The 23,975-nt window shown below is 57.3% G+C and overlaps 2 protein-coding genes across 16 annotated transcripts in view, besides 9 other annotated features; one reads left to right on the forward strand and one right to left on the reverse strand.

The window, feature by feature from the left end:
• Positions 1-1,775, forward strand: part of JPH3 (junctophilin 3) — a 96,322-nt gene extending 94,547 nt beyond the window's left edge. The window contains exons 5-6 of one of the 2 annotated variants that reach the window (NR_073379.3): positions 199-421; positions 1,459-1,775. Coding sequence is in view for 1 of the 2 variants with exons in the window: in NM_020655.4 (NP_065706.2) it covers positions 199-279 (81 nt within the window). In the remaining variant the exon portion in view is untranslated. Of the gene's footprint in view, positions 1-198 lie in introns of both variants that reach the window. The other variant, NM_020655.4, reaches the window with a different exon arrangement.
• KLHDC4 (kelch domain containing 4) overlaps positions 1,765-23,975 on the reverse strand; it is a 67,841-nt gene continuing 45,630 nt past the window's right edge. For 7 of the 14 annotated variants that reach the window (NM_001351938.2, NM_001184856.2, NM_017566.4 and 4 more), the window contains 5 exons: positions 18,117-18,192; positions 14,854-15,062; positions 12,884-13,286; positions 11,969-12,085; positions 11,431-11,694 (listed from right to left, as the gene is read on the reverse strand). In NM_001351938.2, coding sequence (NP_001338867.1) covers positions 11,970-12,085; positions 12,884-13,286; positions 14,854-15,062; positions 18,117-18,192 — 804 coding nt within the window. In that variant the 3' untranslated portion in view covers positions 11,431-11,694; position 11,969. Of the gene's footprint in view, positions 7,052-11,430; positions 11,695-11,968; positions 12,086-12,883; positions 13,287-14,853; positions 15,063-16,115; positions 18,193-23,975 lie in introns of those variants that run through there. The other 7 variants (NM_001184854.2, NM_001351937.2, XM_047434253.1 and 4 more) reach the window with 5 other exon arrangements.
• Positions 2,244-2,303: an enhancer, noted in NCBI's record as "active region_11325". NCBI's record gives its function as "activates an Ori minimal core promoter by ATAC-STARR-seq in GM12878 lymphoblastoid cells {active_cell/tissue: GM12878}" and the evidence as "EXISTENCE:reporter gene assay evidence [ECO:0000049][PMID:35858748]".
• Positions 5,330-5,379: an enhancer, noted in NCBI's record as "active region_11326". NCBI's record gives its function as "activates an Ori minimal core promoter by ATAC-STARR-seq in GM12878 lymphoblastoid cells {active_cell/tissue: GM12878}" and the evidence as "EXISTENCE:reporter gene assay evidence [ECO:0000049][PMID:35858748]".
• Positions 5,930-5,989: a silencer, noted in NCBI's record as "silent region_7840". NCBI's record gives its function as "represses an Ori minimal core promoter by ATAC-STARR-seq in GM12878 lymphoblastoid cells {active_cell/tissue: GM12878}" and the evidence as "EXISTENCE:reporter gene assay evidence [ECO:0000049][PMID:35858748]".
• Positions 6,110-6,359: an enhancer, noted in NCBI's record as "active region_11327". NCBI's record gives its function as "activates an Ori minimal core promoter by ATAC-STARR-seq in GM12878 lymphoblastoid cells {active_cell/tissue: GM12878}" and the evidence as "EXISTENCE:reporter gene assay evidence [ECO:0000049][PMID:35858748]".
• Positions 6,395-7,594: an enhancer, noted in NCBI's record as "BRD4-independent group 4 enhancer chr16:87736382-87737581 (GRCh37/hg19 assembly coordinates)". NCBI's record gives its function as "activates an origin of replication core promoter dependent on BRD2, P300/CBP, MED14 and CDK7 cofactors, and independent of BRD4, by STARR-seq in HCT116 cells {active_cell/tissue: HCT116}" and the evidence as "EXISTENCE:reporter gene assay evidence [ECO:0000049][PMID:35650434]".
• Positions 8,244-8,853: an enhancer, noted in NCBI's record as "H3K27ac-H3K4me1 hESC enhancer chr16:87738231-87738840 (GRCh37/hg19 assembly coordinates)". NCBI's record gives its function as "activates a minimal SCP1, AML or CMV promoter by ChIP-STARR-seq in naive H9 embryonic stem cells {active_cell/tissue: H9 hESC(naive)}" and the evidence as "EXISTENCE:reporter gene assay evidence [ECO:0000049][PMID:30033119]".
• Positions 8,854-9,461: an enhancer, noted in NCBI's record as "H3K27ac-H3K4me1 hESC enhancer chr16:87738841-87739448 (GRCh37/hg19 assembly coordinates)". NCBI's record gives its function as "activates a minimal SCP1, AML or CMV promoter by ChIP-STARR-seq in naive H9 embryonic stem cells {active_cell/tissue: H9 hESC(naive)}" and the evidence as "EXISTENCE:reporter gene assay evidence [ECO:0000049][PMID:30033119]".
• Positions 12,504-13,111: an enhancer, noted in NCBI's record as "H3K4me1 hESC enhancer chr16:87742491-87743098 (GRCh37/hg19 assembly coordinates)". NCBI's record gives its function as "activates a minimal SCP1, AML or CMV promoter by ChIP-STARR-seq in naive H9 embryonic stem cells {active_cell/tissue: H9 hESC(naive)}" and the evidence as "EXISTENCE:reporter gene assay evidence [ECO:0000049][PMID:30033119]".
• Positions 20,394-20,582: a silencer, noted in NCBI's record as "fragment chr16:87750381-87750569 (GRCh37/hg19 assembly coordinates)". NCBI's record gives its function as "represses an EF-1alpha promoter that drives an FKBP-Casp9 reporter gene in an ReSE screen in K562 erythroleukemia cells {active_cell/tissue: K562}" and the evidence as "EXISTENCE:reporter gene assay evidence [ECO:0000049][PMID:32094911]".

Consider the following 23,975-nt stretch of genomic DNA (forward strand, 5'->3'; position numbering starts at 1 on the left):
GGCTTCTCTCCCGCGTCTGGACTTCACGGAGCTCAGGTTCTGGTGGGCCTTTGGTGTCCAAGCGTTTCTAACATCCTCCCGTACGCTTCCACCCCCGAGGGTCTGCTAGCTTGGTGAAAAGACGTGGGTGGGAGGCGTGGTGGCCCAGGCAGAGCCCCCCGCAGCTGTCGCTCACCTCTTCCCCTCGCTCTCTTCCAGGGCTCAGCGCCTATCCTGGTGGTCATGGTGATCTTGCTCAACATCGGAGTCGCCATTCTGTTTATTAACTTTTTCATCTGATGAGATGTCGCGGTAGCAAAAATAGAGAAAGGGTAGAAAAAAGGGACATTAAAATTAAAAGCAAAACCACAAGAAGGGAAAGACCGCAACTCGGACAGCCCAGCGACTTCCAAGTCCTCTCACAGAAGAACCACACGATTGGGTATCACTCACAGTTTGCCTTTTTTTCTGGGTAATGTTTTTTGGATTTTAGCCAAAATTCTTTGCTTGTATAACACTCTGCTGTGTGGCATGGCAGAAGGAGGCCAGCACGCAGCCCCTCCAGCTCCACGTGGAGACAGAAGGGATCCCGGCACATCAGTGGTAACAGCGGACGTTGTCCTCGTGGTCACACGTCCCGTCTTGGGTGTGGATGGAGGGCAGCCCGGGGCAGAGCCTCAGCCCCGCGGCCCCTGAGTGGCAGGGCTGACTCCCGTCGACACGAGCTTAGAAAGTGGATTCACTGCTTTCTCTGTCTAGAACAGACGGGTGACAAGTATGGGCAGGAGGCATGGGGCAGGGTGGCCCACCCCAGTGGGCAGTAGCCTGGCCTTTTTCTGTGTGAGATCTGTGCTGCACACCTGAGGGAGGGGGAGGGATCGGCCACCTCCTCCCTGTGAGACGGATGCAGGTCCTTCCCTCTTCTCGGCACTGCCCCCGGCCTTCCATGAGAAGCCGACTCCCCACACCGAGTTTTAAAGCAAAGCCCTTTTCTTCTGCTGCCCACTCACTGTGGGTCCCATTCGGCTGTTTCCCCCACCAGACCCCAGGGAAGCCGGGGCCCACTCCGATCCGCCTGGGCTCAGCTAAGCACGGAAGCCAAGGGGGCTGTGCCGTGGAGCTGGGCTCGCGCCGGGGCTCTGGGTGTGTGCGCTTGGCGTGCAGGGTGGACGCGTGGGGTTCCGTGTCCCCAGCAGTGAGGGCCCTAGAGGACGCCTTCTCCCATGGTTACTGATCTCCACGGGTTTTCACATCTCTGTACTGTGCCTGCCTCAACTTCCCCTAACAGATATGCATATTCCTTCCAGATGCCTCAGTGCTACACCACAGTGGGCCTGGTCCCAGGACAGGAATGCGGTTCAAACCCAGTGGCTTGAAACTTCCTGAGAAACTGTAGCATATCCAGCCCCCTAAAATGTACAATGTAACTTGTTCAGTCCAACAAAAACAGGTTCCTTATGTTTCTGCCTTCTCCACCAGGGTCGCTCCATCACCCAAACAAAAGAACAAGGTTTGCCAGGATGTCCGAGTGCCCCCTGGCCCTGGCTCTCGTGTGCATGGACGTGCCTGAGGGGTCCGGGCACGGCCATACGCAGGACCCCTGTGCCCGGGGAGGCGCTGCAGGGATTCCCCATCCGGTCGTCTTGGGGCCAGCCCGTCTTATGGACTCTGCCTTGCTTTGCTTATGTTTAGCTGTTTCTCTGCTACCTTTCGAGCAGACTTCTTTACTACACTGCACTGGATTGCTATATTTTTAACCAGAAATAAACTAAAGATTAGAGCATGTTCCAGTTAAATTCAGTTTTATTGTTTTCCGTTACATGTTCACTCCCTGTTCCTTCTCGCCGCCTGGTCTGGTGGGGGCATAGGAGAGGGAGGGAGGACTGAAGGTCATACATTTCTGATAATGTCGCTTTCTAAAGGGCTGTGACATTTTTGTACATCTTTTCCATCTTTTAGTAGCAAGTGGTTGCTGCAGACCAGAAGTGAACCAAATAAAGACTCCTGCTCTGTGCAGCTCTCAGACTCCTGCTCTGTGCAGCTCTCACAAAGATCACAGCTGCTTTTGTACATTCCAGTAACTGCATGACACAAAACGGTACCTGTGAGCAGGAAACACATTCACACCATGAGACATGCACAGAGGCAGGTGTCCCTGAGCGAAGTTGTGCAGAGATCTAGGCCTAGGGGCAGTCAGCTCCTGCCGCAACACAACCTAGAAAACCAAGGCGAGAACGGCCCCTTGCCTTCCAGCAGCGAGGGCAGAGGGCAAAGCCACTTCCCTGTGAATTCCAGGAGGATTCAACCAAGGCTAAAATGCCCCGGGTCTGAGAGAATCGAATCTTTAATTGGTTTCCACATGGGGTGATTAAGCAGAAGGCTGCTTCCCGCCTGTCCGGAGCCTCGGCCTTCCCTGACAGGCACGCAGTCCCTCCGCCCAGGCCCAGGGGACCTGCTTCCCTGCACACAGTCGGGCAGGGCAGGACAGCATGTGCCCGGCTGGCTGCTGCTGCATGGAGAATTTGACGAGTTTTCATTAACCCGAGAGCAGCCTGGTGAGAGCCATTTTCCGCCCCAATAGCTTCTTCATGTTTCACCTGTGCACCCGAGGCCAGGAGGAAGTGGTGGCATCCCCTGCAGACAGCAGCGCGGTCTGCGGGGGGTGGGTGTGGACAGCCCATGGGCCAGGCTGGCGTCTCCCCACCCTTACAAGCCTGCAGACAGGTCCACCTCTGGCCCAGGAACAGATGAGCCCCGCCCTGGAAGAGCTGGAGAAGACCCTCTGCCCCGGGGCCTCTGGTGAAACTGTCTGTGCCCACGGCTGGCCTGTTTTACTTACCAGCCTCTGCACACTGGATGGACTGGTGCTTTCTGAAGTTCAGTAGCGCACAGAATGTGCCTGGATAATTTCGGGAACTGAAACAGTCTCTTTATCCATTCTTTTGGATCTAGAACCATTACCTCACAGGATTCCCAAAGATACAGATCAGGCATGCAATGCCTGAGCCGAGCTAACTGACAAGACAGTGGTGATGTAGAAAAGCAGGGCAGGGCCGGGCGCGGTGGCTCATGCCTGTAATCCCAGCACTTTGGGAGGCCAAGGCAGGTGGATCACCTGAGGTCAGGAGCTCGAGGCCAGCCTGACCAACATAGTGAAACCCCATCTCTACTAAAAAAAAAATACAAAAATTAGCCAGGCGTGGTGGCAGGTGCCTGTAATCCCAGCTACTGAGGAGGCTGAGGCAGGAGAATCGCTTGAACCCGGGAGGCAGAGGTTGCAGTGAGCAGAGATCGCGCCACTGCACTCCAGCCTGGACGACAGAGTGAGTCTGTCTCAAAAACAAGATACACACTGTAGAAAGACGGGCCCTCCCCTGCATTCACTCAGCTCGCTCCCCTGTAAGGCCCCAAGCCAGGCCATGGGCCAGCGGTCCCCGGGACGTCCATACTCCAGGCTCTAACCACACTTGCTCCTTTTCACTTGTAGAAGCACATGGCCACCGCGTCTCACGGAGGGCCATCAGTCACCCCCAAGGCGCTGCAGACCTAAAGTGTGGAGAACTCGAGGGAAATGAAATGTTTTTCATACTTTTGCAGTTCAGGTTCTTGGTTGTCCTTTACTCCTTCCCCGGGAGGTTTTATCGACAGCTGGACCCGTCGGACTGAAGAGACCCTGAGGCCTGTGGTGGTCCCCAAGCTGCTGGCGCTCCTGGGCCGTGTGCGGGTGGCAACTCCCCTCACAGTCTTCATGGGACAGTGCGGATTTCACCTCATACGTGCGACAGACGCTCTGCAGGAGACAGCGGAAGGACCGTCTCCCTCCTCTAGGTCATGCTCACTTTCTCTGACTCTTCCGAAGTTTGATCTGACTGTTCTTGCCTTTGGTCTTGGAAACTTGACATCAAGGTGCCTATTAGATTTTCAGTCGTCGCCTTCCATAGCTGCAGGTGCTGTGACTGTTTCTGCCTTCAGCCGGCCGACAGCACCGGGCGCAACAAGCTTCAGGACATCATGATGCCGCCCTCCTGCAGTACCTTTAACCTCGCCCGGGCCAGGGTCTGCCTCCAGCCCAGGACCAAGACCCCGATTCCAGATAAGGCGGAGGGAGGAGGGCAGGGGGTAGAGGGAGGAGGGCAGAGGGTGGAGGGAGGAGGGAGGAAAGAGGGTGGAGGGAGGAGGGCAGAAGAAGAGGGCAGAGGGAAGAGGGTAGAAGGAAGAGGGTGGAGGGAGGAGAGAAGAGGTGGAGGGAGGAAACAGGGTGGAGGGAGGAGGGAGAACGCTGGAGGGCAGAGGGAGGAGGGCAGAGGGCGGAGGGAGGAGGTTGGAGGGCGGAGGGAGGAGGTTGGAGGGCGGAGGGAGGAGGTTGGAGGGCGGAGGGGAGGAGGATGCAGGGCAGAGGGAGGAGATTGGAGGGCGGAGGGAGGAGGTTGGAGGGCAGAGGGGAGGAGGTTGCAGGGCAGAGGGAGGAGGTTGGAGGGCGGAGGGAGGAGGTTGGAGGGTGGAGGGAGGAGGTTGGAGGGCGGAGGGAGGAAGCTGGAGGGCGGAAGGAGTCAGTCAACTCAGGCACCTGGTTGGCTTCTCTCGCGCCCAGGCCGCGTGTCAGGTGAGGCAGTCGGTACGCAGAAACTGAGGAAGCGACTGTCCCCAGGTGCCAAGGAGGTTGCTGGCTCAGCCTTCAAAACAAGCAAGGAAGAGTGCAGCTGCATTTGTTGAAAAAAAGCCAGGCTGTATTTTCACCATGTGCCCCCTGCCTTGAAAATGAACTACGGAATGCACAGCGCGTGGGGGGTGGGTGCTGGAAAGGGACAGAACAAGGGTCCGTGGCAACCACAAAGCACCTGCAGGCCAGCGCTTCCCGATGAGCAGAGGCGGGGGCTGGCACCTGGCGCTGGCTGCAGACGGGAAGTCAACGCCACCAAAGCAGAGGACCTCAGCCACCCAGGTTAGCAAGAGGGTAGCAGGGCGCTCAGGAACAGGTGAAGCCATACTGTGGAGAGAAGCTGAATGCTCCTCCCAAGCTTCAGCCCACCCATTAGGAACAAATGCTCTTTAAGTCTGTTTCTTCATGAAACCCAAAGTGGAAGTGCCTGAGCTGTGAATGCGGCCACAGCGTTCATGCCAGCTTGTTCCCAAGCCTAGGAGAAGCAAGCAGCCCCGTGACGGGCACAGGCCACAGTGTGGGCGTGAGCTCACCCCATGTGTAGCCGGGTGCTGGGCCCAGGCCGCTGGGTTTCTGGGGTCGGCAGAGTGGGCCAGGCAACAACCTCACATGCCTACCTCACTGCCACTCGTCCGCCTCGTCCACTCCTGGCATTTGGGATAAACATCCTGTCTCAGACACACCCTTCTCGTGCGCCCATGCCACCTGCTCAGGCCTATGCCGCCCGCCCGTCCTCCCAAGCGTGCACACCCGTCCGCCATCCTTCTCCCGTCTGTGCCCCATGGGACAGAGGCCTCCAGCTGCACCACCACTGCTCGTTAACAGCTGCCATCCACACCGAGGAAGCCTCTTCGAGCCCAGGGAGTGGAGGATGGGGCTCTGCTGTGCACGTGCTCCCTCGGGCCCTCCCAGCAGTGGTAGATGGGGCTCTGCTCTGTCCTTCTTGGTCATCTTCCTGGGCCTGCAACAAAGCTCAGCCCAGCAGCCAGGCAGCTCCTTACAGAGGCTAACGCCGGGTCTGGTCCCTGGTGACCCCAGGCTGCTGTGAGAACTTGTGACCCCCGAGATCAGAACAGCCTTCGGGTCCCAGAGCTTCCCGCATGATCGTGTGTGGAACAGACCGGGAGATTCCAGCAGATATGGGTTCAACGTTGACCACCAACCTTGACAACCCAAGGGCTGCCTCCCCTGACCATGACAGCCAACTCCTCCTCCACAGTGGCTCTGCCAGGCGCCGAGTCCATAAAGGGCAGCCACTGTTTGGCAAGGAGGGCCGGTCTGCCGGGGGCTCCCAGGCCCTGGGGTCAGGCTGAGAGAGGAAGATGGGTGTGAGGGTGCAGGGGCAGGGGGGCGGGCCCTGCAGGGCAGTGCCTGGCCCGTCCTGCACCCCCAGCCTGGGAACCCCCGGCTTTCTCGCTTGGGCCTCTGGGGAGCCCGCGTCCCCAAATGTAGCCACATCAGAGCACACTTCTCCGGCAGCAACTTCCCAGGCATGTCCGTGGCCTCCTCGGGGGCAGGCGCCCCCTCCTGGACGCTGAGCTGACCTCTCTAGCAGGACTCTGCTCATCTGCACCATTTGCCATTTCCACAGAAACCCTGTCCCCAGAGCCCGGCGGAGAAAAAAACCACAGGGGCCTCTCTGCTCAGGGGAGCCACGCGGAAGAGGCACCCTCGCTCCAGCTGCCAAAGCAACTGAGCCTGCTGCAAACATCTCTGTGAACTCGGACAGGAAACAGTGTTAACCTGTGTTTCCTTCCAAGTCGGCCCTGGCGCATGTGAACTGCTTGCTAATACTGTGTACAATCACGCCGTGCAATGACAGAGAGAACTTTTCTTATTGATGAAGTGGTTTAAAAAGTTACCCTGAGCCTTTTTTCTTTGCTTTTAAGCTGGAAAGATAGCTTGATTACTTATGAAATGAAAAAAAGTTTTCCTAAATGAATGTAACAGTTTAAATCATACTGTTACGAAAACAACACTGTCAAGATTAAAAAGAAATTCTGCTCCTTTTAGTAATAAACAATGTCGTGTGACACTTTGGAACGCTTCTCTCGTTACAAACCAGCGTCTTTACTGAAGGTCCTTCCGCTGCAGAGCTGCGCAATGGATGTGTGGACAGAGCTAGTCGGCACGTGGAGGCTCTCCTGGTTTTCGAGCAGGAAACGTGCTGTGAGCAGGAATCGCGAGTGAGTTCCATGGCGTCCCCGGGTCAGCGCGCGTGCAGGAATCGCGAGTGAGTTCCATGGCGTCCCCGGGTCAGCGCGCGTGGGGTCCTGTCTCGCTGGCTCACCACTGGTGGCCAGGGCATGTCTCCCCCAGCCCTGAGTCTCCGCAGTGGTGACCAGGGCATGTCTCCCCCAGCCCTGAGTCTCCCGGCAGTGGAGGCAGCGTGGGCACAGGGTTTGTCACAGCCTGTAAGTGAATGGAGGACACAAAAATAACCAGAGAGGCAGGCTCTGCCCTCCGGGAGTGCACAGGCGGTTTTTAAAATGTGTGCGTTCATGTAATTAAACGTCTCCGTTTGTTTCTCAGGGAGTGGTTACTCAATTTCTTCCCAGCCAGAGCTTTGTAAACCTGCGCTTCTCACCCCTCAGTGAAGCCTGAGTCCAGCCTCTAAAGGTGGGTCCCCTGGGTGGGCTGCAGCCAGTGGGGGCTTGGAAGGGCTCTGAAGGTTGAGACAAGGAAAACGGGCGTGAGCTGGACTCAGGGAAGCCGGGTCACCGTGGTACCTGCACTGTGGCCCTTGGCCATGACAGTGTGTCAGCTTCCGGCAGGGACTGCTTGTGTGCCTCGGGACACCAGTGACCAGGTGTGGCCAGGCCCCAGATGGCATTGCTGCAGCTCTCTCGTGAAAGAGTAATGGAGGTGACTGCAACCTGCGCCGGGAGCCATCTGGGCTATGAAAACGAGACTGGCCTCCAGCGCCCCCGGCCTCCACACAACACTCTTACACTGCCCAGGAGAGCAGCGGTCACTAGCAAGTTCCTTCCATGCACAAAGGCAGGCAGGCTGAGGCCGTGATCACAGCTAGAGCTCGGCTCCTTTTCCTTCCGGGCTGGGGAACCACCATCCCCCGCTCCTTCTGGAGGAAGGCTGACTCTTCTCTGATGGAAACCATCAAGCACACGGCGCCGCCACCTCACTCCAACACCCGAGTGCCACGTCCAGCGCGGGGTCTCGCCTCGTCACCTGAACGACACGTGGAAGGAGGCGCCTGTGGAGAGCCCTGGGGAGGGTCCTGAACGTCACGGGGAAGGAGGCGCCTGGGGAGGGTCCTGAACCACACGGGGAAGGAGGCGCCTGGGGAGGGCCCTGGGGAGGGTCTTGAATGTCACAGGGAAGGAGGCGCCTGGGGAGGGTCCTGAACATGACAGGGAAGGAGGCGCCTGGGGAGGGTCCTGAACGTCACGGGGAAGGAGGCGCCTGGGGAGGGTCCTGAACATGACAGGGAAGGAGGCGCCTGGGGAGGGTCCTGAACGTCACGGGGAAGGAGGCGCCTGGGGAGGGCCCTGGGGAGGGGTCCTGAACGTCACGGGGAAGGAGGCGCCTGGGGAGGGTCCTGAACGTCACGGAGAAGGAGGCGCCTGGGGAGGGTCCTGGGGAGGGTCTCTCTCACCAACGGGCATCTTGGTATTTGGTCCCCCAGTGACTTTGTCACCTAGCCAATGACATCCTGCTTGTACCAACTCAATTAAAAAAAAAATCAGATGTCAAACTGCAATCAACACTGCTCTCATCTAAACACAAACACAAACCAACTGCCTGGCAAGAATTTCTAAGCTCAATGGGTGGTTCCCTTGATGTTCATTCCACCCAACACCCTCCCGACCCCAAACACGAAAAAAGCCACCGCTCATGGCCAGTCCCTCCAATTCATCCTCACACAGAGCATGGCGCGCATGGGCGGCAGGGGGAGCATGGAGAACAAGACGATTCATCCTTTAAAATCCCACAAAGCCCTGCGAGGAGGAGCTGTGGCCCTGCTGCCAAGCGGGCCGGCCAGAGTGCCTCCCCTGGTACGCCCGCCCACCCTGCAGTCAGGGGTCTGGGGGCCGTGTGGGAGGGCCGCAGCCGAGGGAAAGGCTTCCTAACAGCCAGCAGCTCACCACAGCGAGGAACTGGGCAAGAACGTGGCACCGAGTACGGCGTGTCCCAGCCGCGCCGCGCCAGCAGCTCCCGGGAGACAGAGGCCCTGGGCTTTCGTGCCGGCCGCTCACGCCCTACGGTGGCTATCTGGCCACCAAGTAGTTCGGTAAACTGGGCCCCGGCAGACAGAGCAGACCACAGGCCCGTGGGGCAGGCAGAGCTCCGCCCAGGAATCCACCACCCTGTGTTGTGTTCCGCGTCTCCCACGGTTCCACACTGAAGGGGCCCTGTTTTCATCACGGCCGTGACAGCCACTCCATGCTGGGAGCTTGTCTATCTGATCCCCATTGGTTCTGATCAGCATCTTTCATTCAAACCAAATCTTTAGCAACAAAAGCAAAATGCTTTCTGTGTAAGAAAGTGTACAAGAAGTTTCTTCCTCAGGGCTGCTGTCATCTTTCTTTCAACTGGGTTGATTCAAAAGTCTCTTTTTCCTTGGAATCCCACCTAATCAGTTACAAGCTCCTCTGAAAGAAAAACTGTCTCTCATAACAGACAACTACATTGAAAGCCAACAAGATATTTCCTCTTCTTCCTCCAAGAGCAGGAGGGAAGAAAGAACCGGCCACACAATGGCGTCCATCTTCTGGACAAGGGCTGGAGCCGCAGAGCCGGGCAGGGCCTGGGCGGGGGCGGGGGCGGGGGCGCTGCTGCCTGCGCTCTGGCTTCTCAACCCTGTCCGAGCCTCTTCCAACCAGCTTAGCTGAGAGTGTGAGGAAAGGACCTTGATTGCCCAGCACTCAGACAAAGTGCCCAGACCGGCCGCCAAAGCCGGCGCAACGCAACACAAGCTGCAGCCCTGTGCGGGGTCGGTGCAACACAAACACAAGCTGCAGCTCTCAGGGGGTTGGCACAAGGCAACACAACCTGCAGCCTGAGGGGAGGAGGGGTCGGCGGAACGCAAACACAAGCTGTAGCCCTTGCGGGGGGCGGGCGGGCTGCCGGCGCAAAAGCAAACACAAGCTGCAGCCCTCGCGGGGGGGTCAGCGTAATGCAAACACAAGCTGCAGCCCTCGGGGGGGGGTCAGCGTAATGCAAACACAAGCTGCAGCCCTCGGGGGGGGGTCAGCGCAATGCAAACACAAGCTGCAGCCCTTGAGGGGGTCGGTGGCGGGGAGGGGGGTGAGCTGGCACAACCCAAACACAAGCTGCAGCCCTCGGAGAGGGGGAAGTTGGCGCAATGCAAACACAAGCTGCAGCCCTTGGGGGGGTCGGCGTGGGGGGGTTGGTCGGCACAACACAACACAAGCTGCAGCCTCCAGGGGGGTCGGCGGAGGGGGCCGGCACAACGCAAACACAAGCTGCAGCCCTCGAGGGGGGCGGCACCTGCAGCCTCACTCCTGTCAGCACTGCCACCCACATCCAGACGCACCAGACAGGTGTCCCCACCAGGGAAGAGGCAGTGCCCAGAGCCTTCCCCTTTCTGATCAGCATTCCCATCAAGTGTCAAGTGACAATGGAAGCCTGAAGTGAGGTCACACCGATGGCAGTGGGCGGGGCCCTTGGGGCCAGTTCAAGTGCCACCCACCGAGGCCTCCTGAACACCCGGCTGCACCAGGGAGCTCAGCACGTGCCCTGCTGTGCAAGAGCTGGCCGAGTGCCCCTGAGATGATCCTGAGAGGCGACACTTCTCAAGCCATCGCCCCAAGGTGACCTGGGTTTTCCTGGGCCCACCTGGAGCCGTAAGGATGAAGAGGCCAAGGGAGCGGGGAGGTGCTCACAGGGGCTCGCCACCAAGTCAGCTTCTAGCCCTCTCCCAGCGGTGCTTCCACCCGCCCAGCACCGGCTCCGCCAGGAGGGAAGTCTCCCCACCACCCTTGTTTTCAACTCCCAGATAAGAAATGGGACCATAGTGAATATGTCATCAGCCCCGTTATAGAAAACTAAGGATCCTATATTCCCACTGTTCAAAATATTTAAGATACACAAAAACTGCACCAGGTGTGGTTTCAATGCTCAACTTTTGACCCCAATTATGCAAATCCGAATTGGCCTTCAGTCTTGGACTGGAGCAGGCCTAGGTTGGGAGTTAGCGCACCACAGCCTTCGGGGGCAAGGAGGCCGCAGCGCTGAAGCCAGGAGGAGCTGGATGGGGACACCTGGTGGCAGCCATGTGGGGACGTTGGGAGCCCTCGCCCTCCAGCCTCCCTTCCTGTCGCTTTGCAAATGCTAATCCTAAACCCTAAACCCGACTGGGACAGGGACAGGGATGGTCCCACCACAGCCTCCCAGAGACCACGCGGCGGCAGGTGGCTCCCAGGAGTGAGGCCGCTGCACACGAGGAGCCCCCACCACGAGACCCCCGTGTGCAGCCAGCCAGCGGTGCTTCACGTGAATGAGAACCGGGAAGGTGTGCACTGGCCCTGGTCTGCTTTTCAGTTTCAGGCATCAGAGGCTGATCCCAAGTGTGAATATGGATGGGCAGTCAGGGCCCTCTTCTGGTTTTGCAGAAGGAAAGGCTCACAAAGCACAGCATATTCCGGGGTTTCGGGCACAGAAACCTGCTTCTCGAGGGTCCTTCGTGTCCAAGGTTCCACCCTCCAGTGTGGGGTGGTCTCGCCCTAGGCCCAGCCCTGGCCCGGGGCAGAGGCCCCGGGAAGACTGCGGTGTGCCTAGGGCCACACAGAAGACACCCTCCGCGGTGGTCTTGTTTCAAGTCCAATTTATTTCACACAACACACAGGCTGCTGAGGGAATCCACCTGCACTGCACTCAGTTGAACTTCCGGCCCAGTGCCGCGTCAGAGACTAAACCATGGGAGAAAGTTCACACCCTGGCCTGGGCCACCCACCTTCAGCTCTCTCCTGTGCGTCAGGACGCACGCTGGCCCCAAGAGCTTCACTCAACACGGCTGGGTCCTGGGCGGACGTGGGCACAGCACTTGCCAGGCGCCCCTGGCAGGGGCTCTTCTGATACGCAAGGAGGAAGGAATGAGAGAGAAACACATTCAGCCGAGGGGGAGGCCCGTGCAGGAGGGGTAGAGAGAACACCGGGTTTTCAGGGAAGACCTCATCAAAGAGCCCACAGGCACACGGCACTCATTAGCAAGCTGCCCAAATTACTCCACACACCAACGTTTTTAAAAAATTTACAAAGCTGAATTCCAATAAGCATCCGATAAACATGAAAAGCCTTTCACGAACACCCAGCAGCCGCGCCACCCGCCAGCCCGAGCCCGCTCACCTCAGTCCTCCGCACCGCTCTCCTCTCCGCTGTCTTCGTCGTCGACCCCACCCTCGGCGCCCTCAACCTCCTCACTGTCCTCTTCCGAGTCCGTCTCCTCCAGCCACTCCTGAGTTTCTTCAAAAGCAGAATGAACGCACATACACGTCAGCGCAGCTGAGGCAGGTGGGGGAGGCTGCGGGACGGTGGTGGCTACGTCCTGGGGGGATTCCATTTTCTTAAGAACCATAATGTGAAACCTAACTCCTCTTCCCCGACCCCCTTCAGATCCACAAAGGAAACAGACTGCGTTCCCCTGGGCTTCAGGACAGAGATCCGAGACGGCAAACATGCAAAAGCACCCCCATAACGGAGCGGCTGGCCAACGGGGCCTCCTGCCACCCTCCACCCCGGCTCACGGTGTTCTCACAAAACAGCAAACATCCTGTGCCAACAGTTCACCACCTTTCCCTAGATTTGTGGATTTTGCTTTAGTCTCAGATCTTTAAAAACTGCATGGTGACTCGATCCCAGCAGCAGTTGGGGTAAAGGGGACGTGTGACTACGGCAGCAGAGGGGCCCTGGGTCAGGCAGCAAGGCTGGAGGCTCAGACCCAGGGCCTCGGGGCCCGGCTCGGACGGCCATCCACAAACAAGCATGCTGTGGACGGAGCAGCAGATGCACCCGTGTCCTGTGCCGCCAGAGCCGCAGCTCCCGTCAGCACCCGGGACAAAGGACAGACGTGCCCAGGGTGGGCCCCCCTTTCCACAACAGGGTCCTGTTCTCCGTCAATCTGACCGTGGAGGCAGGAGCACAGGCGAGAAGTGTCGGCACAGGCCGCCTCTGGGCAGCTTGCAGGGCTTGCTTTCGAGGGACGCGACACACGACCGTGGGCTCTCGCTCCCGGGCACGGAGGCACCAAGCTGCCTGGCTCACCTGGGTCCATCTCCACCAAGGCCTTCCACGCCTCCATCCTGTGCAGGTCCAGGCAGTGCAGGTCGCTGAGGGTGACCTGGCGGTCGCCGGCCTCAAACATGCCCCCATAGACGTAGAGCACCCCATGCTTCACAGCCAGCATGGCGTTGGAGCGTGGACACGGCCCAGGTGCGGGGCTGCCGGCCTCCTCAAGGCTGTCTTCGTCCTCAGACCGGGGCTGCCCCGCCGAGCCTGGCGCGGTGAGCACCTGCTTAATGGTGACCACGGTGCCATCCTCGGCCACCACCTCCTTGACCAGCTGCACAGGCCCCTGGGTGCCAGCTCCCCCACACGCCGGCCTGCTACCACCTTCGGGCTCCTCTTTTCTGCCCCGCCTGCGTTTCTTCTTTTCAGACTTGGGTCCCTATTAATAGACCGAGGAAGCAGAGAGCAGCAGCTTCAGCGAGGCAGGGGTCATTCCTGCTATGCCCACAAGGCCAGGCAAGGGTTTGCGGGGACCACCCACAAGCGTGGGGAGTGTGTGACCCAGGAAGGCGCCATCCCTGACTGCCCTGGGTGCAGGCACTGGGCTGCAGGAGCACGCTCCTGTCTCCCACTAGCCTCGCCGTTCACTCCTGGGCTGGGGCAGAAAACCCCCCACTGCGTGTCCTCACTGAGGGGCCGCTCCACACCTCCACTGAGAGGTGGACAGGCCCACCAGACCCCACACACAGGGCACCAGCCCCACAGGCTCCGACGCTCACCCTGGGAAAACCCAATCACCCACAGTGCTGGCTCCCAGAAGGGCTGGGGAAGCCAGGCTGAGGGGCTTCCTCCCCTTTCCCAAGCAAGACAGACGGTCAGGCCCACAAGCCCAGCTCATTTACTACAAACGGCGAGCCAGAGAGGGGCCCTTCCTCACCAAACGTTTTTAAAGGGGAGCTCTCAGGTCAGGCTGCCTCCTGCAGGACAGCTGTCCATCCCTCTCTGTCCCACTTCCCTGGCTGCGTCGCAGGGGTCAGTCTGGACCCTTCTGTCACAGCCTTTGTCATTTTGTCACAAAACGCTGCCAGCTCACGAGGTGACATTTGCCAGGTTATTTCCAAATTTTCCAAGGATCACTACCTCCAGATCAACCCAAAGTCAGCTTCACATTCTAGACTTCTAAGATCCACTTTGTGTCTGGACTCTGCAACAGTGAGTTTCAAAAGGGAAAGCTCTCTGAGGTCCTCCGTAATCCTGGGGAATGTCAACGGCCCTGAGATCACAGTGTGAGAACCGTGACACTAGCTGGGGTCAACACGCTCTCTGAAGAAAAGCCACAGGGGAAACCTGTGTAGACTCTGCTTGGAGCAATTCCTTCTAAAGTAAAAGAGCGAGGCGGACTGTGGGTCCAGAAACGAACCCGCGTGTTTTTCCAATTTCCAGCCCAGGTGCCACCACACGTCAAAAGCAGCTTCAGGAGTTTGCAACCAACAGCGACCAGCCCTCCTTGGCCCTTTCTGGGTCCGGCTGACCTGGTACACTCAGAGACCCTGAGGCCAACTGGGGGATCCCCTTCTGGGACTGTCACCCACTGCTGTGCCTGTGCTGGGCTGGCCCTGGACAGCAGCTATGCTCACGTGGACAGTAAAGATGGTGTCGGAAACCAGGGAAGCTCAAGGGTCATAACACAGGCTGGTCCACACCAGGACCTCCAGCAAACCCTTCTCACACAGAGGGCCGGGGAGGTCCCGGGCACCTCAGCCCAGGGCAACTGGCTTCTGAGGTAGCAGCCCCGCCAGCATCCAGGACAGACTAAGGGGACCGTGACCAAGGGCTCTCCAAGCCTAGTCACCCAGGACAGTCAGAGACGGAACCCTCGCCCCTCTTGAGAGAGCTCATGGGCTTTGGGGGCCCCAATACCAAAAGGTGCTGGAGGAAGGCAGTGGTGGCAGGGACCCAAGTTAGGGCTGCGCACCACGGCGCATGCTACTCAGAGGTTGCACTACCTTCAGCTGTCCCTCAAACCAACGGTTCCTGGTGGCGTCGTAGAAGTACAGATCGTTGAAGAACTCGCCCGACAGGCTCTCCTCCTCTTCCTCGTCACAGACACCCCCGAAGAACAGTGTCTGGTGATTCGGGGCCATGGCCACGGAAAAGCCAGACCGTGGGGTGGGCTTGACCCCCGAAGGGTTCATCCGAGTCCAAACCCACTTGTCTGTCAAAAGAGAACAAGGAAGTGGGATAAGAACACAAGGAAGGACCCTGAGAGCCAGCCCAGGACACGCTCAGGACCCCAGGTGCCCCCCAGAATGGGGTAAATGAAAACCGTGAGACTGTGGGCAAAAACTCTGCTCCCTCTGCAGAAAAACAGACACCATTCAACTCCCCTCGAGTTCCACCCTTTTCCTTAAGAGAGCTGGCATTCAACAGCTTTCCACACACCCCCAAGCACCTCTAAACTAGGGGCAGCTACAAGCCGCAGTGGAAAGGCAGGGATTGGGCAGAAGCAGCACACACGCTAGACACACAGAGGGGCTTCTGTGGGGAGGCTGCCCTGCACAGGGACCCTCCGCCCGGCACGGGGACCCTTCGCCCAGGGGGCTGAGTGGCCTGCACCAGCCCCCCTTGGGCCTGCACGGGGACCCTCCACCCTGCACGGGGAACCTTCACCCAGGGGGCTGAATGCCTGTGCCAGCCCCCCTTGGGCCTGCACGGGGACCCTCCGCCCTGCAAGGGGACCCTTCGCCCAGGGGGCTGAATGCCTGTGCCAGCCGCCCTTGGGCCTGCACGGGGACCCTCCGCCCTGCACAGGGACCCTTCGCCCGGGGGCTGCAGTGTGGCCAGCGAGGAGCCTTCGCCTGGGGTCTGAGTGCCTGCACCAGCCCCACCTTGGGCTGCAGTGTGGCCAGCTCTACTTCAGGAAGGGTCTATGTTCTCTCTTGGCACGCGCCTATGTGATGTGCCAACCCTCAAACAGAGCCCAATGTGCAGATGTCTCCCCACCACTTCTAGGAGACAGAATGGAGATTTTTTTCCTCCAATGAACATTTAAAAAAAAAAACAGAAGCAGCAAATGGACGTATTCTGTGTGGTGCTAGACGTCACCCGCCCATGCCCAGTGTGGGCGTGGCTCTGGGGCCCCCGCCTCATTCCCACCAGCACATGACTGTGTGAAGGAACAGGGAAGACCACCACAAGAACTCGCCACACAGGGCAGGACCCTCTCCGGTGACAGAAACCCACACACACAAGGTGTGTCGCTCCTCACCACGATGCTTTCCTCCTGGGGGCTGACGAGCAGAGCACACAGGCTCAGGGCCGCCCTGCGGGAAACAGTCCAGCATCCAGGTTCAAGTTCACTGGGGTGTAGGCTGGAAAGTGACTGAAAGAAGGCGTCTGTCCTATCAGCCAGGGTGCAGTAAGGCAGGGCCCTGGGAGAGGCACCTGGGCCTTTTGACAGGCAAATGGGTGTGGACTCAGATTAACCCTTCGGGTATTTCTGAGGCCTCAGCATGAGGAATTTTAGTGCAAGAAGGAGGTAAAAACACTTTGCACAATGGTCCCCTCTCCTGGGGAGGCTGGAGAACTTGCTGTGGGTCACAAAAGCAGACCTGGCCTAGGCATTGGGTCTCCTGGGTCTAGCCCAGCCCTCTGGTCCCAAGCCACAGCCTCCCATAAGAGAGCTGTCCCCTGGTTTCCTAACGGCACTGGGGACGCTAAACTCCACGGCAAACACCCTTGATCTGTGCCTCCTGGCATCACTCTCTTGCTCTGGAGCAGAACAAATGCCATTGTCTCCTTCTATTTATTTTTTATTTTTTGAGACAGAGTCTCACTCTGTTGCCTAGGCTGGAGTGCAGTGGCACGATCTCAGCTGACGGCAGCCTCCACCTCCTGGGCTAGAACAATCCTCCCACCTCAGCGTCCCCAGTAGCTAGAACTACAGACGTGCGCCAGCACACCTGGCTACATATTTTTTTTGTTTTTTTGAGACAGAGTCTCGCTCTGTCGCCCAGGCTGGAGTGCGGTGGTGCAATCTCGGCTCACTGCAAGCTCCACCTCCGAGGTTCACGCCATTCTCCTGCCTCAGCCTCCCGAGTAGCTGGAACTACAGGCACACACGCCAGCACACCTGGCTACGTTTTTTTTTTAAGAGATGGTGTGTCACTATGTTGCCCAGGCTGGTTTCAAACTCTTGGCCTCAAGCAATCCTCCCACCTCAGCCTCCCAAAGTGCTGGGATTATAGGTATGAGCCACTGCGCCCAGCCAGTAACAAATGCAATTTTTTTCAAAATCAAGAAATTAATGATTGAAAAGTAGCAGGCCACCCCCATCCCCCCGCCCATGCTCCACACAGGCACGGCTTCTTCCGCTTCAGAGGTCTGTGAGAACTGACGGGCAGCCACTGGCAGGAAACGCCGCCAACAGTTCATCTCAGCACATGACCCACGCCCAGGAACATGAAACGTGCCATGTGTAGAAGGTGGTGAGAGTGGCTGACACATCCTGGGCCCTCTGGGTGCCAGAGCCATGTAAAGGGCTGTCCCCTAGGTCATCCCATGTCATCCTTTTAAAAAGTCCCAGAGAATGATGATTGTTCCCCTGTGCTTTAGTAAGAAAATTTTGATTCTTAGATCCCAGTTTAGCTAAAAGCTTTTAGAAATCTAGGCATTCTAACAGCCCCGAGTTCAGTAACTCAAGCTGACAGAGGCCACGGCCGTTCTTGGAGGCCGTCCCTGTGAGGGCCAATAGCAGTCTCGGTGATGACTTCTGAAGTTCTGTGCATGAGCAACACCGACCCCTGGCTGGGAAGCCCACACCCAGCCTGCCCAGCTGCTGCCCGCAACCACCCCAAGAGCGAGGCCCGTCACCACAGTGCCAGGCAGCCCCAGTGACTCCTGGTGGCTTGTACTCAAGGCCCAGGATGGTTCTCCCTTCGAGAGCTCAAGACCCTTGGAGGGGCCCATCAGGAGCTGCTGAGGGGCACTGTGCTCACTGCTCCACAGAGGGCTGTCTGCAGGGTAACAGCGCCCGTGCTTCTCAGTCAGTCCATCATCAATGCCCCCAAAGGTGATTGCCCAGCAGACACCAGGGCTATGGAGCCTGTCCCACCCGGCCCACCCCGAAATGAGCCATCTCGGCAGGCCCTCCGCTCCGGGCAGGGTGCAGGGGCTCACCGCCAGCCCCACATCCATGGGAGGGTGTGGGCTCTGCCTCCCGCCACACACAGACCAGCCAGCTCCCGCCCTGGAGGCACAGCACCTCTACCTTCTCTTCCGTCCTCTGGCTTCAGCAGGAACATGTCTGAGTGCCGTGTGCCCTTGTCCACGTCTTTCTTAACTCTCTGCAATGGAAAGGAATTGTGTGAGAACCGGGGGCAGCTACAGTGGTTGCTTACAGACCCCCCAACCCTGTGGGCGCATTTTGGATGGAAGGGGCTGGAGGCCTTCCCTGTAGACCAGCCCCAAAGCTCCAAAGCGTGCCTGCAGTGTGCTCAGGGCTGGCACCACCTGACAGGCTTTATCCCCCAAATGGGTCCATCTGAAGAGGCCACCTTTCTAATGGCCGCGATCACACAGTACACTAGAGTTCCTGTCGGGGCACGCACAGCTTCCACAGCAGCCCTGGTCTGTGTGGAAACCACCACAGGGGCCTCTGATACCATTACAGAGTCACTCTTTGTTCCTGATCCCGGTGGATCCCCACCGCCTTCCAAATAACACGACTCAGGCTTCACAGCAGAAATCAAGTTACTACTGTGTGCAGAGGGCAGGCACTGCCCACTGAAAGACTTCTCCAAGCTTCGAAAACAACGCGCTCCATGTCCCTTAGCCCTTAGTCTTCTGCCTCAAGTGAGCCTCAGCTGGACCAGGTGCACTGTTCCCCAGCACCCATGCCCTACAAGTCCTGGTGCCACACCCATTACCTGGGACCTAAGGTTGTGAGGGAGATAGCCAGCAAAACGCTCACCCTGGGTGGAGGGCCCCCATCCATTTCCATCTCATCTTTGTATTTGTTTGCACTTTAATTCTCTATTTTTAATACACTATTTTAGAAGTTTTGTATTTGCAGAAAATTGAGACGATAGTACCGAGAGCTCTCACACGCCCACACCAATGTCCTCCCAGCATGAATACCTTCCTCTCCTTGGCGCCCTTGTGACGGATCAGGAACCGGCACTGACCCGTTACCGGGAGCGTGGCCCACACTTCATTCACTGCCCCAGTGCTCCGCAGCTCATCCTGCCCAGGGATCCCGTCGAGGGTCCCACTGGCCGTTTCGTCCTGTCGCCTCCTCAGGTTCCTCTGGGCCCTGAGCTTCTCCGACTCTCCTTGTCTCTGAGGACCATGATAGCTGTGTGGATGGCTCAGGAGTTTTATAGAGTGCCCCTCTACTGGGACTGTCTGCTGTCTTTCTCATTAGACTGGGGTTATGAATCATTAGGACGATCCCCGGGGTGAAGTGCCCATCTCATCACATCCCATCAAGGGTCCACACCATCAACAGGACTCATCACAGTGGATGCTGACATCGACCGCCTGGCTGAGGTCGTGTCTGACAGTTTCTCTTCAGCTCTATGTTCTCACAGATATTGACACAGACTTCGGCCACGCTACTGTGGTCGCAGGGGTAGTGACACAGACTTCAGGCATGCTCTGTGCCTCATGGATACTGACACAGACTTCAGGCACGCTCAGTGCCTCGTGGATATTGACACAGGCTTTGGGCACGCTCTGTGTCTCATGGATATTGACAGACTTTGGGCACATTCTAAGGTCTTGTGGATATTTATGCAGACTTTGGGTAGGCTCTATGTCTCGTAGATATTGACACAGACTTCAGGTACGCTCTATGTCTCGTGGATACTGACGTAGACTTTGGGTACACACTATGGTCTTGTGGATATTTATGTAGACTTTGGGTACGCGCTATGTCTCGTGGATATTGACGTAGACTTTGGGTACACGCTATGGTCTTGTGGATATTGACGTAGACTTTGGGTACGCGCTATGTCTCGTGGATACTGACATAGACTTTGGGTACACGCTATGGTCTTGTAGATATTGACGTAGACTTTGGGTACACGCTATGGTCTTGTGGATATTGACGTAGACTCTGGGTACGCGCTATGTCTCGTGGATACTGACGCAGAGTTCGGCTATGCTCTATCACTACCCATCTTTGTTGCTCGGGTTGTTCAACGACACACAGCTGCCACTAGGAGCCTTTACAGCTACTCTTGGGTCCCTGTGACTTGCACCATCTTTGTGGGTTCCTTTGAGCACCTCCTTAGGCTCTGGCACCACAAGATGCTCAATTCCTCCTATATACTCCCTGCTCGGCCCTACGATTCGCCATTTCTCAAGGGAGCCCTGGTTCCCTTTGTTGGAGAATAGTGTTAGAAACCAAGAAACCAGGGGCCGGGCACGGTGGCTTACACCTGTAATCCCAGCACTTCAGGAGGCCGAGGGGGGTAGACCATGAGGTCAGGAGATCAAGACTAATCCTGGCTAACACGATGAAACCCCATCTCTACGAAAAATACAAAAAAATTAGCCAGGCACAGTGGCAGGCGCCTGTAGTCCCAGCTACTGGGGAGGCTGAGGCAGGAGAATGGCATGAACCCAGGAGGCGGAGCTTGCAGTGAGCCGAGATCTCGCCACTGCACTCCAGCCTGGGCGACAGAGCGAGACTCCGTCTCAAAAAAAAGAAAAGAAAAGAAACTAAGATACCAAGATTTGCTGTAATCCCAGCACTTTGAGAGTCCAAGGTGGGCAGACTGCTTGAGTTCAGGAGTTCAAGACCAGCCTGGGCAATGGCAAAAACCCATCTCTCCCAAAAAATATGAAAATCAGCCAGGCATGGTGGCATGCATCTGTAGTCTCAGCTACTCCCAACGCTGAGGTGGGAGGACTACTTGAGCCTGAAAGGCAGAGGCTGCAGTGAGCCAAGATCATGCCACTGCACTCCAGCCTGGACGACAGAGTGAGACTTCTCAAAAATTAAAAAAATTAAAGAGACCAAGATTTGGGCAATGGATGTGTAAACTGCTACCGGGTAGTATTGTTTCTAGGCCGTCCCATCTGGTAGAGCAAGGAAATATTTGTTTATGGTTATTTTTCTTATAGCTAACATGTACTGTATTTACTATAATGGAAAAAAAACATTTTCCTTTTGAAACATGCAAATGATCCACTGTCCACAGAGACTTCATATTTCCACCTGGGCCTGAGTGTCCTAAAACTAAGAGGGCTCCACATTGGCCATATGGAGAGTGACCTGAATCTCAGGAAGTGAAAACTGAGTCTGGGTCTCTTTTGTTCTCCTTCTGGAAACATCTGTGCAATTCCAGTGATGCAGTTTCTGCACATTACAGACAGTGATTGAGACTAGTCTCTTTTTGTAACAGGTTGATAGAAAATGGCTGTCATTTCCATGCCTGCTTTTCCAAACCTAAGGGCCTAGCATTATTGTGAACTGAATTGACACCCAGAGACTTCATCTGCTGGGGGGACAAGGAAGGAATTCAGTGACGTCTCTATTTGTCATCAGAAACTCAAATCGCTGCTTAGCTTCGGCAGGTCTCTGTCTCCTTGTAGTACCCTGCACCTGTCTATATGAACCGTCTTGTTTTGCTGACAGCAACATTGTCTTCTTAGAATTAACAGCCTATGGGGGAATGTTTTATGCTACAATATTTAAGTACTTCCCCTCCAGACCATGCAAGCCAGAGAGGTGGAGCACTTCACAAGGCCTGATCTGCTCACACGGGTCCACAGGTTCCTTCCGGCACACAGCTGGCTGGCCACACCCTCTAACAGGGCCCATGGTTCGACCTCCCCAACAGCTTCTAACTCCTCCTTCTACAGCAGTTTCTTTTCTTGAAGTGTTGTGACTTTTCCCAAAATCCAACCTGTCTGTCTTCAAAGAAAGTAACAGACAACGGCCTTGTTGCCCTCTGTTTTTCTGGATCACCTGTGCTCAAGCTCTATTAGCATACACCAAACCAGCTTTACATTCACGCAGTCTTTCCACAAAAACCGATTCGCTCTCGCTCTCCCTCTCCCTCTCCCTCCCCCTCTCCCTCCCCCTCCCTCTCCCTCCCCCTCTCCTCCCCCTCCCCCTCCCTCTCCCTCCACAGTCTCCCTCTCCCTCTCCCTCTCTCTCCACGGTCTCCCTCTGATGCCGAGCGGAGGCTGGACTGTACTGCCGCCATCTCGGCTCACTGCAACCTCCCTGCCTGATTCTCCTGCCTCAGCCTGCTGAGTGCCTGGGATTGCAGGCACGCGCCGCCACGCCTGACTGGTTTTTGCTGGAGTGCAGTGGCGTGATCTCGGCTCGCTACAACCCCCACCTCCCAGCCACCTGCCTTGGCCTCCCAAAGTGCTGAGATTGCAGCCTCTGCCCGGCCGCCACCTCGTCTGGGAAGTGAGGAGCGTCTCTGCCTGGCCGCCCATCGTCTGGGATGTGAGGAGCCCCTCTGCCCGGCTGCCCAGCCTGGGAAGTGAGGAGCGCCTCTTCCCGGCCGCCATCCTGTCTGGGAAGTGACGAGCGTCTCTGACCGGCCGCCCATCGTCTGAGATGTGGGGAGTGCCTCTGCCCCGCCGCCCCGTCTGGGATGTGAGGAGTGCCTCTGTCCGGCCGCGACCCCGTCTGGGAACTGAGGAGTGTCTCTGCCCAGCCGCCACCCTGTCTGGGAGGTGAGGAGCGTCTCTGCCCGGCCGCCCGGTCTGAGAAGTGAGGAGCCCCTCCGCCCGGCAGCCGCCCCCTCCGGGAAGTGAGGAGCGTCTCCGCCCAGCAGCCACCCCATCCGGGAGGTGGGGGGCAGCCCCCGCCCGGCCAGCCGCCCCGTCTGGGAGGGAGGTGGTGGATGCCTCTGCCCGGCTGCCCCGTCTGGGAAGTGAGGATCTTCCCGGCCGCCACCCCGTCTGGGAGGAGTACCCAACAGCTCATTGAGAATGGGCCATGATGATGATGGTGGTTTTGTCAAATAGAAAAGGGGGAAATGTGGGGAAAAGAAAGAGAGATCAGATTGTTACTGTGTCTGTGTGCAAAGAGGTAGACATGGGAGACTCCATTTTGTTCTGTACTAAGAAAAATTCTTCTGCCTTGGGATGCTGTTAATCTATAACCTTACCCCCAACCCTGTGCTCTCTGAAACATGTGCTGTGTCCACTCAGGGTTAAATGGATTAAGGGCGGTGCAAGATGTACTTTGTTAAACAGATGCTTGAAGGCAGCATACTCGTTAAGAGTCATCACCACTCCCTAATCTCAACTACCCAGGGACACAAACACACGGAAGGCCGCAGGGTCCTCTGCCTAGGAAAACCAGAGACCTTTGTTCACATGTTTATCTGCTGACCTTCCCTCCACTGTTGTCCTATGACCCAGCCAAATCCCCCTCTCCGAGAAACACCCAAGAATGATCAATAAATACTAAAAAAAAAAAACAAAAAACTGATTCGGCTACGGTAAAGTAGTAAACAGAATCTGCATGAATTTTTGGAGAAGTTAGACTTCATTCTAATACATTATTGCTGGAATGCAAAGACATCTGAGAGAGAGATCAAGTGTCAACATGGAGGGTGAGCGCAACAGGGCTGGCTCTGGAATTACTTAGCATCCGGCTGAGACCCCAGAGCCCAGCAGAGCTGTGCCTGAACGTTTGGAGGCGCATCGGCCGCACACGCCAAGTCCCAACGGGCCCCCACCTCCCGCACAATGTAGTACAGGCCACCTAGCTTAGCCTGCAGCCACATCCCCTGATGAGACCCCACCTCCCGCAGAAGTACAGGCCACTTAGCTTAGCCTGCAGTGAGTCCTCAATGCAGCTGCTTTGGCTCACCCGGCTGTCGGCTCAGACGCCGACCCATTTCAATCATCAGGAGAGGAGAAGACACACAGGGCCGCCCCAAGGACCCCGTCACCAGCTCAGGCCAGGTCACAGAATGGGCCGGCGGTGCAGTGGTAGGTAGATAAAGGCCGGGGAGCGTTTGTGGGAGAAGACGGCCAGACGACTGGTCCTGGGAGAAGACAGTGCTAACGGCAGCACTGATGTTCACCGAAATCACAATCAGGCAGGGATAGGGTGTCGGTTCCAAGCGGACGTGTGTGAACACAGAAA

This window comes from Homo sapiens, chromosome 16 (assembly GCF_000001405.40).
Source record: "Homo sapiens chromosome 16, GRCh38.p14 Primary Assembly".
NCBI lineage: Eukaryota > Metazoa > Chordata > Mammalia > Primates > Hominidae > Homo > Homo sapiens.